Source organism: Homo sapiens, chromosome 18 (genome assembly GCF_000001405.40).
Source record: "Homo sapiens chromosome 18, GRCh38.p14 Primary Assembly".
NCBI classification, from domain to species: domain Eukaryota; kingdom Metazoa; phylum Chordata; class Mammalia; order Primates; family Hominidae; genus Homo; species Homo sapiens.
In genome coordinates this window covers 7020896-7037777 of record NC_000018.10, presented here as the reverse complement: position 1 = coordinate 7037777, position 16882 = coordinate 7020896, and the positions used below count along the sequence as shown (strand labels likewise).

General features: G+C 43.8%; 1 protein-coding gene across 1 annotated transcript in view, besides 1 other annotated feature; it reads left to right on the top strand.

Annotated features, from left to right (window-relative positions):
• Positions 1-16882, top strand: part of LAMA1 (laminin subunit alpha 1) — a 176056-nt gene that overhangs the window by 80020 nt on the left and 79154 nt on the right. Inside the window, exons 12-19 of the mRNA NM_005559.4 lie at positions 27-200; positions 1690-1791; positions 3088-3299; positions 4683-4794; positions 5602-5712; positions 11672-11799; positions 13312-13398; positions 14403-14614. Of these exons, the coding sequence (NP_005550.2) occupies positions 27-200; positions 1690-1791; positions 3088-3299; positions 4683-4794; positions 5602-5712; positions 11672-11799; positions 13312-13398; positions 14403-14614 (1138 nt within the window). The remainder of the gene's footprint in view (positions 1-26; positions 201-1689; positions 1792-3087; positions 3300-4682; positions 4795-5601; positions 5713-11671; positions 11800-13311; positions 13399-14402; positions 14615-16882) is intronic.
• Positions 1891-3090: an enhancer, noted in NCBI's record as "MED14-independent group 3 enhancer chr18:7034687-7035886 (GRCh37/hg19 assembly coordinates)". NCBI's record gives its function as "activates an origin of replication core promoter dependent on BRD2, BRD4, P300/CBP and CDK7 cofactors, and independent of MED14, by STARR-seq in HCT116 cells {active_cell/tissue: HCT116}" and the evidence as "EXISTENCE:reporter gene assay evidence [ECO:0000049][PMID:35650434]".

The window sequence follows — 16882 nt, the reverse complement described above, 5'->3', positions numbered from 1 at the left end:
TCAAAATTCTTGAATTTGTTTTTAAGGTAAACAGTATGTCCGGGTGGCTGGTCACCGACTTGATCAGTCCCAGGAAGATCCCGTCTCAGCAAGATGCACTAGGCGGGCGCCATCAGGTCAGCATCAACAACACCGCGGTCATGCAGAGACTGGCTCCCAAGTACTACTGGGCAGCCCCCGAGGCCTACCTTGGAAATAAGGTGCGTGTGACCCTGCAGGTAGCGATGTCTCAGATGAAGATCTCAGGGAACACTGAGAAAGAACTTGCGCTGCCTGCATTTTAGGTAGTCTCATAGGGCACCTGAGTGTTGGACAGCATTTCATAGCCTGTACTTGCATCTGATGATACAAAGAAGGTTTTCTAGCCTTGTTAGACTTTATGTTGTATTATTCAAATAAGAACTTCTGCTCTTCTGGTCTGGTTCCTGAGCAGTGTGTTTGGTGAAGTCTCATCCCCGTCTCTGAGATAAACTTTCTGGGTCCCTGGATCACTTGTTTATGAAGTGTTCCTCACATTCCCGCTTTGTTTAGTTTGCCATAGGCTCAGCTTAGAGCCTCCATGGCTTAGTGGAGGGCCTGGCATACAAGAAACAACCCAGGGAAGGTTCCAGCAATGGGACTGCTGTGCTGCTCCCTCACTTTGAGTACCGTGGCAGGCTGTGCTCATCTGAAGCTCACATTTAGGAACAGATGGAATACTTTCTGCTTTTGTTATATTTCAAGAAAATGCAAACTGGTGATTCTGCAATGTGGAGGTTGGTTTGTAGGCTTGGGCCTTCCTTGCAATGATGTGTTCCCATTCCCCCCTCCCCACTTATGCCGCATCTCTCCAGATTCTGATTGATACGAAAATTTATTCCCGAGAATGCATCTCAATTATTATAGCTCCCTGCTTACCTTCCCGGGTTTTTGGTTTTGTTTTGTTTTAAAGTAATGGCATACAGGCATGCTAGTGTAGTCTTGTAGCTTGGTACGCTTCTATTTAATTTGATGATATTTTCATTTTAAAACTTGTTTTGTATATTTTTAAGGAGTATTTATTTTTGAAAATTATTTTTTTCTCAAATTATAATCCTAGAACATGTGCTCTATTGATATGATTTTATCAACAGAGTTCAATGATTTTTTTTTCTCTTGATATCACTTCTCCAATTTTATGGTGCAAAGTTGGGTTCTGAACAATATATTGCTGTCATATACCCATCAGAAAGAAAATCTTAATTTTATATTGAAGGACATCTAATCAGAAGAAACACCTTTAGTCCTTTCTCTAACTAGCAAATCAGACATATTCTTTGTTGTCCTATGAGGAGGATGCTGAAATGAAAATGTGGAGATTGTAGACATGGGTCAAACTCCTCATCCCCTAAATTACTTAACCGAAGTAAATATCTATTGTGTGATTAACAAAAGTTTATAGTAATTTGCCTTGTGGTCTCTAACAAAGAGTACATTTTTCTTCTGTGCTTTCAAACAGTGTCCTGCATGTTGGTAATATTGATTAACCAAAATGTTTATGAATATACTCCCCTTTCACTGCCTTTAATGTGAATTTCCTTGTCTGTCATGGTCAAGGGGATAGTTGTAGCCTAGTTGTTTGCAGATGGATCCCAGTGACCACTTCCTCTTACTTGATTGTTGCTGTGATTGTCTTCCCCTTTCGTGTTCATTCTCGCTTAAACATTTCAGCTGACTGCGTTTGGCGGATTCCTGAAATACACGGTGTCCTACGATATTCCGGTAGAGACGGTAGACAGTAACCTCATGTCGCATGCTGACGTCATCATTAAGGTGATTGTTTTTGCTTTGATTCTGCTATAGAGCTTAGGGCTTAGTGGGCTGATAGTTTATGACTGAAAGTTACTAGGTGAGGACATCCCAGCAAGGAGCTGGTGGCCAGGTGGCCATTCAGTAGACCCTGGACTTGCGTGGGGACTACTGAGATGGTGAGTGTGAGAATCTGTCTTTGAGCCCATTTCTGGAGTTGCCTCAGGACAGCACCCGCCACTCTTCTCTTCATCTCCAGGGTGTACCCATCTTTTCACATTTAAAAAGAAAGGGAGCTGGGCTTGGTGGCTCATGCTTATAATGTAAGTGCTTTGGGAGGCTGAGACAGGAGGATTGTTTGAAGCCAGGAGTTTGAGACCAGTCTGGGCAACATAGTGAGACCCCCGTCTCTCAAAAAATATTAGCCAGGCACCGTGGCACGTGCCTGTAATCCCAGGTACTCGGGAGGGTGAGGCAGGAGGATGGCTTGAGCCCAGGAGTTCAAGGTTATAGTGAGCTGTGATTGCACCACTGCACTCCAACCTGGGTGACAGAGAGAGAGCCTATCTCAAAAAAAAAAAAATTTTAAGTAAAAAGGAGACAAATTTTTGCTCTGACCTTGAATCTTCTTTTTGAAGTCTCTTCTTCCCTGTGCCACTTTGCCTCTCAGATGAATGGATTAGGCAGTACTTGGCGGTCTGAGGACAGTAGACGTGTTGCCATACTTGTCCTCAGCCTCTGTCCCTATCCCCACATCCTCAGTCTCCATAAAAAGATCCAGCTCAGTCAGGAGGACTCCCCAAGTGGTAATGTCCCAGGGTCTGGGGCATGTCTGGGCAGAAACCACTCCAGGTTCTTGTCTCTCATGTCCTTTCACCTGGAGCTATCTTCACCTCCATCTCCAGCCTGACCAATTGCAGACCGCACACGGTAAATCACTTTTGTGAACAGCAACTTGATGAAAAGCTGGAGCTATGTTTACATACTTTTTCTACTTCTGTACTTTAGTTAAAGATTAGAGGTGTCAGATGGGTTGCTTTGATAAAAGCTGTGGGCAACTGCACGACTTTCTTTCTTTTCCAAGATCCCAGCGAAGTACACAGGCTTTCAGTTTATTACCAGAACCCCTCTAAAAATAATACAATGAAACACCTTTTCTCTGATAATTCTGGGCCAAGAGCTGTACACACCATTACACGTTTGCCACAAGAAGCTAGGCACGAATGAAAAACCACGTTGCTGAATACAAAATTTGATTTTATTTTTATTTTATCATTAAATTGAATGACAAATATATTTTCTCTTGTTTTTAAATGTTAGGGAAACGGACTCACTTTAAGCACACAGGCTGAGGGTCTGTCATTGCAGCCTTATGAAGAGTACCTAAACGTGGTTAGACTTGTGCCTGAAAACTTCCAAGATTTTCACAGCAAAAGGCAGATTGATCGTGACCAGCTGATGACTGTCCTTGCCAATGTGACACATCTTTTGATCAGAGCCAACTACAATTCTGCAAAAATGGCTCTTTACAGGTATGTATTGAAAATGGAGGAAAAACTTACGGTGAAGGTACTTCCATTTTATGTTTGTTTATTCATATATATTTAAAGCTCAACGTATTTTACATTCATTATATTAAGGACACAGCTACAGGATCTGGCTGTCTTAAGAATTATTAAGTTTATAAATGTAATTTTATTGAAAACGTAAGAACAGTTATCCACATCAAGTGTATCCAGTAGAAGACAGACTTGACATTAGGATGAGAAACTTTCAAAGGGGGTTTCTGGGAAATGCACGATGAGTTAGCGATTGTCTGGACCATGTTGCACCTGGTTCTCACCATCCTAATGTTAATGGTCTTAGCTTTTACTCAGTCCATTTAAGTGAACGTATCCATCGTTGGTCATTTGATTACTTTCGGGAGGACAATTTCTGGCAATGCCGTGCCAAGCATAAAAGTTGTATGCAGCTAGGCTGGGCATGGTGGCTCACACCTGTAATCCCAGCACTTTGGGAGGCCGAGGCAGGTGGATTGCATGAGGTCAGGAGTTTGAGACCAGCCTGGCCAACATGGTGAAACCCCATCTCTACTAAAAATACAAAAAATTAGCCAGGCATGGTGGCGCATGCCTGTAGTCCCAGCTATTCAGGAGGCTGAGGCATGAGAATCATTTGAACCCAGGAGGTGCACGTTGCAGTGAGCTGAGGTTAAGGCACTGCACTCCAGCTGGGGCAGCACAACGAGACTTTGTCTCAAAAAAAAAAAGTTGTATGCATCTAACACAAACATAGCATGACACATTTAAGGGTAATCTTTCTATTTGTGATAATTGAATGGATTAATTTTTCTGAGGTGCTTCAACTCCAAATAGGCAACACCAGACCTTTCCCACAGTCATCTATGGGCAGCAGCATGACTTTGTACCAAACATTGAAGGCATTTCCAGGGAATAATGATGGCTCCCAGATAATATATTGTTGTGAAAGACCTTTAGTTATTTACAAAAATCACATCACCCTTTTATTGGATTTAAGTCTTTTTTTTTTTTTTTGAGACAGAGTCTCCCTCTATCACCCAGGCTGGAGTGCAGTGGCGTGATCTCAGCTCACTGCAAGCTCTGCCTCCCAGGATCAAGCGATTCTCCTGCCTCAGCCTCCTGAGTAGCTGGGACTACAGGCACATGCCACCACGCCCGGCTAATTTTGTATTTTTAATAGTTTCACCATATTAGCCAGGATGGTCTCGATCTCTTGACCTCGTGATCCACCCACCTTGGCCTCCCAAAGTGCTGGGATTACAGGCGTGAGCCACTGCGCCCGGCCGGATTTAAATCTTTTAGGAGCCCATCTTCATTGAGATGTGAGATGTATTTGCGAGCGTGTGAGTCACATAACAATCTGTCTATTTGTAGGTTGGAGTCCGTCTCTCTGGACATAGCCAGCTCTAATGCCATCGACCTGGTGGTGGCCGCTGATGTGGAGCACTGTGAATGTCCGCAAGGCTACACAGGGACCTCCTGTGAGGTGACGCTTCTCTCTTCCTGTCTTTTTCCTTTCGTTCCTTCCTAAGGGGAAAACAGTGCACTGAAGGGGATGTCATGGCAAACATTTGATTTTTAGCTTTAGCAGCCCAATGTTTGGCTCAGTCTTTTTTGGGCAATAGAAATATTAGAAGTCACATTGTTTAAAAAAATCAGATTCCTCCACCAGGAATGGGCTGGAGCACCGGACAATATTCTGACTTAGTGCTGCCCTCTTGCCTTAGTCAACAAGAAACTTGCAATACTCATGCCATTGACTGTGTTTCTAAGGAGGATGGAACTTGATCATATCTGAACATTTACAAATCACCAGCATGTGACCTGGGTAGCTTTAGACAAGCCAGCCCTATTTTGAGACCTTTTATGGCCCCTCGCTATTTTACTTTGGTGGGCTCCACCTTACATGTGAAATATATGAAAATGCGCTTGGAATCCTCAATGAAAGTAATCTGTTGCTAAAAATATTTTGAAATCACTTGGACAAACATATTGATATTAATACCATAACAAGAATAGGCCGTAAGACTCATTGCACAACCATTACGTTTTTGTGTGTGTGTTTCTACCTTTAAAAAGAAATAAGGAACTGGATTATGGTGATGGTTGCACAGCTCGGTAAGGTTTTTACTAAAAGTCATTGAATTGTACACTTAAAATGGGTGAATTGTGTAGCATGTAAATGATACCTCAGTTAAGATGTTTAAGAAAAAAGACATTTCTGTACTCTGGCAACTGAGCAGTTTCTGTTTGTAACGTAGTGGAAAGAGGATGACTTTCCCTTCTCTTGCAGTCGTGCCTCTCTGGCTATTACCGCGTGGATGGAATACTCTTTGGAGGAATTTGTCAACCCTGTGAATGCCACGGCCATGCAGCTGAGTGTAATGTTCACGGCGTTTGCATTGTGAGTCTCTCACTGTAGTTCAGGTGCCCTCTCCTCCTCAATTCAGAGCCATTTGCTGTGTACAAGTGATTTTTTTTTAAGTGCTTCCTCCACGGAATAACCCTAGCCTCATAGACCCCAAAGAAAATTTACAGATTTAAGCTCATGTCATGAAATGTTTCCCGTTTTTTTTTTTGTTTTTTTTTTGAAAAAAGTTACTTTGGTAATAGTGGAAAAGGGATATACAACTTCATTATAGTTCTTTTTATTAGATTAATATAAAGTAATTGTTTTTATTTGCTGAGACTATAAAGCAATAGAAAGGTAAAAAAATGTTGTCTACTTATTAAATACAAAGCATAGGATCTTTAGATGACAGTGCTAATATTTATTTATTTATTTATTTGAGACAGGGTCTTACCTTGTCACCCAGGCTGGAGTGTGGTGGCACCAACACTGCTTACTGCAGCCCTGGATCTTCTGGGCTCAAATGGTCCTCCCACCTCAACCCTCCAAGTAGCTGAGGCCACAGACAATGCTAGTATTTTTTTTAAATCATGATATTACATAATATACCCTAAGAAGAAGAATAAAGTATAATCACACTCACTTATATACCATGCTTTATAGTTAGTTGGGATAAATTAATCAAACAGGTACTTCTTTCATGCAATATGAGTTGAAATAGGGCTTAAGAAATAGGTAGTTAATCTTGAGAATGAACTTTGGGGCAGGTGTGGGGCAAGACTTGTTTCTTAACTTCAATCAGGAATTCTTCTAGGCCCTATGCCCTGAAGCCAGGCCACACTCTGGGGTCTCATGGGTTTGATCCTCAGAGGTGGAGTGACTGCATATGCTGATCAGCTGTACCCTGGTCGCCTGGCAGGGAAATGTTCATGCTTTTTCCAAAAGAGATTGACTGAGTCACAGAGTTAGGGAAAATTAATTACCAGACCCAGGGAGAAGATCTTAGAATGATGTCCAGGATGGCTTATGTCCAGGATGGCTTAGAACTTAATTTTTCTTTATTCTGTAAGTAAAACTTTTGTTTTGCCCTTTGTTCTGTAAGTAAAGCTTCTGTAGGAATTGCATGAAGGGGTGGTTTACGGGCAGACTCAGTCCCTCCAGGATTGCTTTCCTCAGGTGCACAGCTTCCAACCGCTTGATGAGGTGGTTGCTTTTTTTTTCACCTCCTTTCCTTTGCCATTTGGGTTTGCAAGGCCTCCTGCCAGCATTTGGGGTGGGGTGGGGTGGGGGGTACAGCAGGCTGTGGTTCTGCCACTTATGTCTTTTGTAGCTAGGCTGAAAGAGTAGATTTCTCATGCTTCCATTAATGTATGTTTACAAATATATATTCACATTAAAGTGATAATGCTAAATAGCAACTGGCCTTAAAGCTTTAATTTTAATAAATAATAATTTTATAGCTTTAAACATGTTTTGGAAATAATTTTAGACTTACAGAAGAGCTATGAAAGAGTTACAGAAGTACAGAGAGTTCTGAAGTAACCTTCCCCCAGCATCCCCTAATGCTACCATCTTGCATAACTAGAGTGGAGTTATCAGAATGAAGAAGTAGCACGATAAGATGAACTACACCCCACATTCTGATTTCATCAGTTTTTCACTCATGCTCCTTTTTTTTGTAGGATCGAACCCAGGACCCCACACCATTCAGTGACTTTGCCTTTTTAGTCTCCTCTCCTCTAGGAAAGTTCCTCAGACTTCCTTGTCCTTCATGACTATGACACTTTTGAAGAGCACTGAGCATTCTGTGGAATGTCCCCCAGCCAGGGCTTGTCTGATGCTTTCTTATGACTAGGTTGAGGTTACACATTTTTGACCAGAAGACGTGGAGGTGCCGTGCCCTCTCATTGAGAGCAGATGGATAGGATATCATTGTGTCTTCTTCCTGGGGATCTTAATCTGGGTCACTTGAATTAGGTGATGTCTGCTAGGTTTTTCCACTCTGAAGTTACTATTTCTCCCTTCTTAATTAATGTTTGAGAGGGCAAAAATAATAAAAATTTAAATTAGAATTTAAGGAAATACAAAAAACGTGGTAGCATCATATATCTGTTAAATCTAACCTTGCTGGTTTTTTTTTTTCTAATATATTGTAAAAACAAGCTTGAATTCTTCCTTTTGTGTAGTTGTTCATAGCCCTGGGCCTTGCGTATAACTATCTAGCTTCCAGGAGTTAATTCTTTATTCACAGTTCATTAGAGATGAGGTTCCAGTTGCTCTTAGAGCCCCTGTTTTTCTCTCTGAGCTCTCTTAGCTCTTTATTCAAAGGAGAAGTCTGTGTATTTTCCTTGCAGCTTGGCATGATTTAGAAAAGAGAATGGCATCACAGTAAATTGTGCATGTCTTGGGCCCTCATGTCTTTCTTTTTTCAATCGAAAGATGTTTTTCCTCCCCAAGGAGAGGAATAGTCTCATTCCTTCACATACCAGATTCACCAACAGGGACAGTCAGGTAAAGGGCTGGTGGCACACGCCTGAAAAAGCACTGAAACAGACCCTCAGTGGGTTTTTCAACAGAACTACATACTAGTTTCCCCAAAGAGAAAGAAAGCACTATCTGACTCCTTGATCAAAGAAAACATACCATAGACATGTTCCAAATGAGCATTATCAAATATTTTTAAAATGAAATTGCAGTTACTCTGCAGAATACTTTTAGCTCAACCATGTAACCCTTTACTAAGACCAGTTGCATCTTGAATTAATTTGGATTCATTATCAAACCCAAGGTCCTATGAAGGATGGGAAGGAAAAAAGGGTCTAAGACTCTGTTGTCTGAGGACCAGCAGTGTGGGCATCACCTGGGAGCTTGCTAGAAGTGCAGAAACTCAGGCCCCACCTCAGATCCCCTGAACCAGAGTCTACAGGTAACCCAGGTGCACTTATTAATAGATTCATATTCCAGTTTAGATGCTCTGGTCTAGGATAACCCTAAGTAAAACTGATGAAACCCTGGAGTAAAATGGATGTAATACAAATGCTTACAATTCCAAATTAAATGTGGTATATGGGAAAACTTTCATCAACCTGAGGAATGATGGAAATGTATATGGTTTAGAAACTGAAAATACTAAATTGCTAGATGAAAAATGACCAATGAAAGTATGTAAAATGAGTGGCCGTAGGAGAAGGGGACACGGGGAAATGGGAGCTGAGGTGCACACCAAGAGGAGCAGCGACACACGTGTGCAGAACAAGCCCCGCTCCCTTCGAGCCCGTAGCTGCCCGGGGGTCAGTGCTGCCTGGTCCTGGCCCCAGTGCCGACCTCCGCACCCCTCCCCTTTGCTCCTGCACACCTCCTAACCACCGACTGCACTTTCTTTTAGAATGTTTTAAATGAGGGGGGGAAGGTTTTTCATATTTTTTCATGTATGTACCATTTCCAGTGCTCTTCATTCGCTGGTATAAATCTATGATTTCGTCTAGTAGGTATCACCTTTCTACAGCCTGGATTGTTAGCCTTTCTGTAGTGCAGATCTGCTGGTTGACAGATTCTCTTAACTCTCCTTTATCTGAAAAAGGCTTGCCTTCAGTTTTGAAATTGATTTTTACAGATTTCTCTTTCAGTACTTTAATATTGTTCTGTTGCCTTGTGGCTTACATGGCTTCAAGTGAGAAGTTAGTTGGTGGTCATCTGCTTATTTCTGTGTGTTATTCTGCCTTTTTTCTCTGCCTGCTGTTAGGAGGGTCTCTGTGTCCCTGGGTTTGAACACTTTGACTGTGCCTTGGTGTGTATTTCTTTATGCTGGGGTTTATTGAGCTTCTAGAATTTGTGAGTTTGTAGCTATCAACTTATGAAAAGTTTTGACCAAATAGCTTTTCAGCTTCCCACGCCAATCTAATTGCACGTGACATTGATCCACAGATGATAGAGGCTGGGATCTTTTGTTTTTTCCTGAAGTTTGAGTTTCTGTTGTTGTCTTCAAATTCACTAGTCTTTTCTCCTACAATGTCGAAGCCGATGCCCACCCATTCAGTACTTCATTTTGGATATGGTAGCTTCTAGTTCTAGAAGTTCTACTTGGTCCTACTTTATATCTTGCATTTCTCTTTTCACAGTTTTTATGTTTCCTTCAAGTCTTTGAGCATGCTTATAATAGCTTTTTTGTTTTTGTTTTGAGATGGAGTCTCTCTCTGTTGCCCAGGCTGGAGTGCAGTCACGTGATCTTGGCTCACTGCAACCTCTGCCTCCCAGGTTCATGCAATTCTCCCACCTCAGCCTCCTAAGTAGCTGGGATTACAGGTGCACACCACCACGCCCGGCTAATTTTTGTATTTTTAGTAGAGATGGGGTTTCTCCCTGTTGGCCAGGCTGGTCTCGAACTCCTGACCTCAGGTGGTCCACCCGCCTTGGCCTACCAAAGTGCTGGGATTACAGGCGTGAACCACCGCGCCTGGCCTATAACAGTGTTTTAAAAGCCTGCCAATTCCATCATCTCTATGATTTGTGGACATGTTTCTAATGACTGGGTTTTGTTTTTTTTTTCCCCTGATTGTGGATCGCTTTTTTTTGTTGTTGTTGTTGTTTCTCATGTCTAGTTATTTTCATTCCCCATAAAAAAAAACCCAGCTCTTTATTTGGAAATAATTAGGAGTTTACCCAAGATTTGTAAGAATAAGAGTGGTACGTAGAACACCTGCCATTTATCTAGACTCCCGTGTTGTTGCCATTTTCCCCATTTGCCTTATTAATATCATTATCTGTCTACCTATCTAATTATAGTATGTTTTTCTAAACTCCTTGAGAATAGTTTGCATAGACAATGGCCATTTTGGTGTGTATATTGCAAGAATAAGGCTTGTCTCTTGTATAACCATAGTACACTTATCAACTTAAGTCAATGTAACGCTGGTACTCTACTTTTTCTAACCTACCACCTGTTGCTCAGTTTTGTCAGTTGACCCAATTATGTCCTGTATAGCATCCTTCCCTCCAGCACAGGCCCCCATCTAGGATCAGATGTTGAATTTTATTGTTGTGTCTCCTTAGGCTTTTAACAGGAAATGTTTCTACTGCCTTTCTTTGTATTTTATGCTATTGGCATTTTGAATAATATAATCTTTTTTTTTTTTTTTTGAGACGGAGTCTCGCTGTCACCCAGGCAGTGGCGCCATCTCAGCTGACTACAAGCTCCATCTCCCAGGTTCACGCCATTCTGCCTCAGCCTCCCAGGTAGCTGGGACTACAGGCGCCCGCCACCAAGCCCAGCTAATTTTTTGTATTTTTAGTAGAGATGGGGTTTCACCGTGTTAGCCAGGGTTGTGTTGATCTCCTGACCTCGCAATCCACCTGCCTTGGCCTCCCAAAGTGCTGGGATTACAGGCATGAGCCACCGCACCTGGCCGAATATGATCATTTTTTTAAAAAAATACAATGTCCTTGGTTCTGGGCCCTTCTTTTGTTTCTCTTGGATTATTCAGGCCGGAATACTTTGTCAAGGATGAGTCTCTCAGAGCACTGCCAATGGGAGTCCCAGTGTCTGTCTGGCCCTCACTGGTGATATTAATTCTGATTACACAGGCAAGGTGTTGGTCAATTTTTCCACTATATATGAACGATTCTTTCCTTTTGCAACTAAAAAACAGTTGGAGGCGGACACTGTGAGACCACGTGCATATCCCACTCTTCATCAGAATTCCCCTTAGAGGTAGCAGTCGGAAGGTTCTGGCCGAAGCAGCACTTGCTGTCATGTTTGCAAAAGCTTGATCCTCCATCTCCTGCCCTTGTCCATGCTCATCAGTCAGAGAGAAAGCTCTCAGATTTCTCATTTATACAAATTACACTTGCTGATATTAATCTGAAAACAGGAGGCCTTCCTCATATAGCTCAGAGGTTGGTGACTGGTTTTAGCATTTTGTCTTTTTTTTTTCCGCTTGGACTTCAAGTTGCTTATAGATAAATCTGAAAATCCTTTAAGACAACCTGAGCTGATTCTTCTGGTGCATGTTCCTAGGCGTGTGCGCACAACACCACCGGCGTCCACTGTGAGCAGTGCTTGCCCGGCTTCTACGGGGAGCCTTCCCGAGGGACACCTGGGGACTGCCAGCCCTGCGCCTGCCCTCTCACCATAGCCTCCAACAAGTAAGCCTCGGACCTCATCAGCGGTTCCTGCCAGCATGGCCAGGATTCCCACCCAGATGCGTACTAATGACTTCAGAGCAAGACTGTGTGTGTAATACGTGTGTGAATTTTGCCCAGTGACAATTGATTTGGATTAAAGACAGAGGGGTGGGTTATTTTCTTGTAAACCAACGTTTGGCTTATGAAAGCAGGCAAGAAGAGGTGTGTGCCAGCAAGGACCTATACACGCCGTTTTCCCTCTTGATTCCTCTTGGTCATCAGTTGTTTCACAAGTATATGTTGTCTACTTACCAGTGGGCTAGGAGGTGGAGGGATACAGAGAGGAATAAAACATTGTCCCTCGACTTAGGGAGTTTTTGATCTAATGACCAAAATATGTACGCATGAGGCTAAACAAGAGCAGTCTAAATCCATTCATTGATTCAACAGATATTTATGGAGTGCCTACTGTGTCCTGAGTTTTACAGCAGGTGTTCTGAATAGCAAACTGTTCTCACCTGGCCGTGGGCCCCAGGGGACTCAGTGTGGTCGTGACTGTAGTGAGGCCTGTCCACCAGATGGTGGGGAGGAGGGAGAGCAGTGTCCAGCCTACCTAGGTGGGTGCAGGAAGCTCTTCTCTCAGATTTGCAGGAGAAGGAGTTTCACAGGCAGCATAGACGGGCGTTCTAGGCAGATGGAGCTGGGCGTGCCATGGCATGGCAGCAGGAACAGGCATCGCCCATTTGAGGAACTGCAGCAGGCCATGGAACAGAAGGCATGGAGGGAGGTGGAAGGAGATGTACCAGGCAAGGTCTTATAGTCACACTGGGGCAAGTGCATCCCACAGGCCAGCAGCTTAAAAGCCTCTGTCTCTCGCTGGTTTAACCTTTAGAACTCTTCCTTCACCCACTCTCAAAGAATTCCCAGTATATAAAAAGGATGCAGTCAGGGTTACTCATGATGAAATTGGGGGTGGGTACTGTCATCCACCCTGCACAGGATCCTCAAGGTTTAGGAATAGGGTTGGAAGGGGCATCCGTTAGCAGGGGGTCCCTGGAGAGGTGCGAGAGCCTCCTGACCACTTTGTGTTTGAGTGAGCTCACTTTTGCCCTGGTATGGGCAGTGCTCTGAGGTGGGAAGTCAGTGCCAGGGAACCCGAGCTGGGGAACCCAGCATCCTAGGAGCACCCGAGCAGGCCTCCTGGAGGAAGCATCAGCTGAGTTGGGCACTGGGGCTGAGCTGGGTTAACCCAGGCAGACAGCGAGAGAAGCAGGCGCGCTGTGGGCTGAGAATGAGAGGAGTAGGGAGCAGGGAGTGAGGAGTGAGTGTCAGTGCCTGGATCATGGGACCAGGAGTCTGTGAGGGGTTGAGACTCACAGGGTGGGCTGGGTGACCAGAGGCCCCGGATTCTGAGCTAAGGAGGTCTCATTGAAGGTCTGGAAGCACAGGAGTAGTAGAAATGAAGCATTTTAAATAGTTAGAAATTCGGCTTCATCCATTGGAAAATTTTGTTCATTTCTAATGTTTTGACAGTTTCAGCCCCACCTGCCACCTCAATGATGGAGATGAAGTGGTCTGTGACTGGTGTGCCCCGGGCTACTCAGGAGCTTGGTGTGAGAGGTACTCTGCATCCACTGGCTTCAACACATTTTCGAAATTAAATATAAATTCTATGTGTTTATTTTTAAATGCGTAGTTAAGTGTGGTTTTGGAGTTTTGATGCATAATTGTTATTTCATAGAATCATTGAGAAAAATCAGTATTTCATGTTTTAAAATTAATGTTAAACCTTACTGGGAATTTTTAAAGAACGGTACTCTTTTCCTGGCTAATCTGAGTTCTCATCAAGAACAATAGGCCGGGTTTGGTGGCCCACACATGTAATGCCAGGACTTTGGGAGGCTGAGGCAGGTGGATCACCTGAGGTTAGGAGTTCGAGACCAGCCTGACCAACGTGGTAAAACCCTGTCTCTACAAAAAGAAAAAAAAAACAAAAGGCCGGGCATGACGGCGGGTGCCTGTAATCCTAGCTACTTGGGAGGCTGAGGCAGGAGAATCACTTGAACCTGGGAGGTGGAGGTTGCAGTGAGTGGAGATTGCGCCATTGCACTCCAGCCTAGGAGACAGAGTGAGACTCTATCTCAAAAAACAAAACAAAACAAAAACAATAGGAAGCAGCAAGGAGTCGGTATCTGTGGTTCACACATTTGAATATTCCATTGCTCCGGGCTGTTCTGGAGATGACAGGTGGTTTGCTTTAGTAGCCGTCTTCTGGCTCCTGAAGGCCAGTGCTGTCTTTCCTATGTGTGCGTCTCAGTGCCCAGCTCTGGCTGAGCCTGCAGGAGGCTGTGCGGCATCCGGAGTGGTCAGGGGTGGGTCAGAGTTGGCCCTGGAAACAGGTGCATGTCCCCTGGATTTATGCCTCATTTTGGATGCTCTCCCCCTTCACCGCGACAGGTGAAGGAGATCTGGGAATGCCCGAGTGGGGAGTCATATCCCTTTCACAGTAAATCTCAGGGAACAGAGTCCGTCTGATTTATTAGCCATTCAGGGAGTCCCTGGATAGTGCGGTAAGGCCTTAAGTAACTGCATTTGTCTGATCCCACTTTCAATCTTTGATACAGATGTGCAGATGGTTACTATGGAAACCCAACAGTGCCTGGCGAATCTTGTGTTCCCTGTGACTGCAGCGGCAACGTGGACCCCTCGGAGGCTGGTCACTGTGACTCAGTCACCGGGGAGTGCCTGAAGTGCCTGGGGAACACAGATGGCGCCCACTGTGAAAGGTGTGCTGACGGGTTCTATGGGGACGCTGTGACAGCCAAGAACTGCCGCGGTGAGTGCGTGAGCGTGAAGTCAGGTCAGCTGTTTATTGCCATAGGAAGTCTTCAACCGTATAGTCACATGTGTCACACAGGGCCCCGCCTAGGAGGTCACACTCTCTTGAGGGGTTACTTGCATTAATGCTGGGTCTCTGATCAAATACAGACCCACGACCCAGTTCTTCCCTAGCTACCCTATCCTGAGCTTGGTTAGTCATAACCCATAGGGGTCAGTGGCCTGGAAAGATGCAGCCTGCCACCCGAGCGGCCAGTGTGACTTGACAGAGTTCCGGCTCTGCTCCCCGTGACTGAAATGAAAGTGGGGAAGCTCAGAGCCTGTCACATTCGTAAGGGAGATGCTTCAGAGGCTGCACGAGGCAGATGGGATTCCAAGATGAAGGGTGGGAAATGGTAAGACTGTAACCCCAGAAACTGCGTAAAGCACCGTGTGGTGCATCTTAGCCCTCTGTGCCAGAACTGCCCGACCCCTATGGCACTCTGCTGAATTCGATCCTTGAAATTATGGATCGTGGAGAAAACTAGATTCTCCTGCACAGCAGATGACCTGGCCGGAGGGATGATTCAGCCCTCAGATTTTGAAGGAGTGAAAGAACAAAAGTGGCAATTATAAATTATTTTGAGTATTTCATATAAACGCCAGTCATACTATGGTACTACGACATGGGGACACAAGAGGGCACCAGCTGTACAGAAAACATACTTTCCCAGGCACACGTGGAGAGATTGGAAATGTTTTATGGCCCTGGGCCAATCAAGCTGATCTCCAGCAGGTGGCCACCTTGACTGGCTATCATACCAGGATAATTATGATAACAGCATTTCTACAAGGCTTCACGATTTGTAGAATGTTTTTATCATTTTCATGTCATTTCTTTTCATCATTACTGCAAGCCTTGGTGATTCATTCCTCCGTTCATTCATTGTTTATTAAGTGTCCGGTATTTCCCAGACACTGTACTAAGAACTGCGACAGGTAGTTGGGAAATTGTGATTCAAGTCTACTGGGAAGCTACACATGATGATGGTATGGGGGGAAAACATACCTGTGGATCCAGGTGTTGGAGTCTCGACTAATGTGAGTTTTATTCCAGGACCAACTGTGTGACATTGGGCTAATTTATTAGCCTCTCTGAGCCACTATTTTGTTATTCATAAAATAGACATAATTATATGTGTATATCAAGGCCTTTCTGAGAAGTCAGTGCGGTAACATTTAAAGTTCTAGACATGAAATAAATGGCAGCTATTATAATTACTAGTAATAAACCAATTATTATTATATTTTCTAATATATAATATATATAATATAATATAATATATTATTATATTATATAATATATATTATATAATATAATATATTATTATATTTTCACTCCACTGCTGTCCAACAGAAATACAATGTAAACCACCCATGTAATTTAAAATTTTTTAGTAGTCACATTTTTCAATAGTAAAAAGAAGTAGGTGAAATGTATTTTAATAATACATTCTATCTGAGCTGATATATTAAAAATAAGCATTTTGTCATGTGATCAGGTTTTAAAAGTATTAAGCAATATTTACTTTCTTTTTTAGTACTGAGTCATCAAAATTGAGTGTATATTTTATAGCCCAGCTCAATTAGGATGCTACATTTTCCTCAGAAATACTTGATCTACATGTAGATTACAGAAAATTTACAATTGAAAAGGTAGTTCAAACATATTTAAAATTTTTCCGTCCTGTACCAAAAATTATTTTCTTTAATATTGGCATCCACATTGACAAAACCGCTTCAGTATTTAAATTTAAACTCAGAGATTTGGTTCTTCGCTTGCATCAGCCACATCTCCAGCATTTGGTAGACATGTGTGGTTAGCGGCCACAGGACAGGACTGTGAAGGTCAAGGCGATGAATGACTGTCGGGGGTTGCACTTGAAGGCACGGAGGCGGGCAGGCCCATCAGCCCAGGGTGGCCCGGGCTGCCTCCTGAAGGGGGTGCTGTTCATCTGAGACCTGAAGGATGGGAAGAAGAGCCCCAAGAAGAGTGACCAGCGTGGGAAGACGGGCCCAGGCAAGTAGGCAGGCCCTGCCCGAGGTAGACACTGGAGAGAGAGTGACCAGAATGGAAAAGACAGAGACAGGGAGGGGAGGTCTCGGGCTGATAGGTGGGAAGCAGCCACGTCGGAAGGGTCTCCTGTGCAGTGTTGAGGTGCTGAGGTCACCTCGTCCTCCCTGTCCTGGGACTCACCAGCAACTTGTGCAGACATGGAGTGGGCCA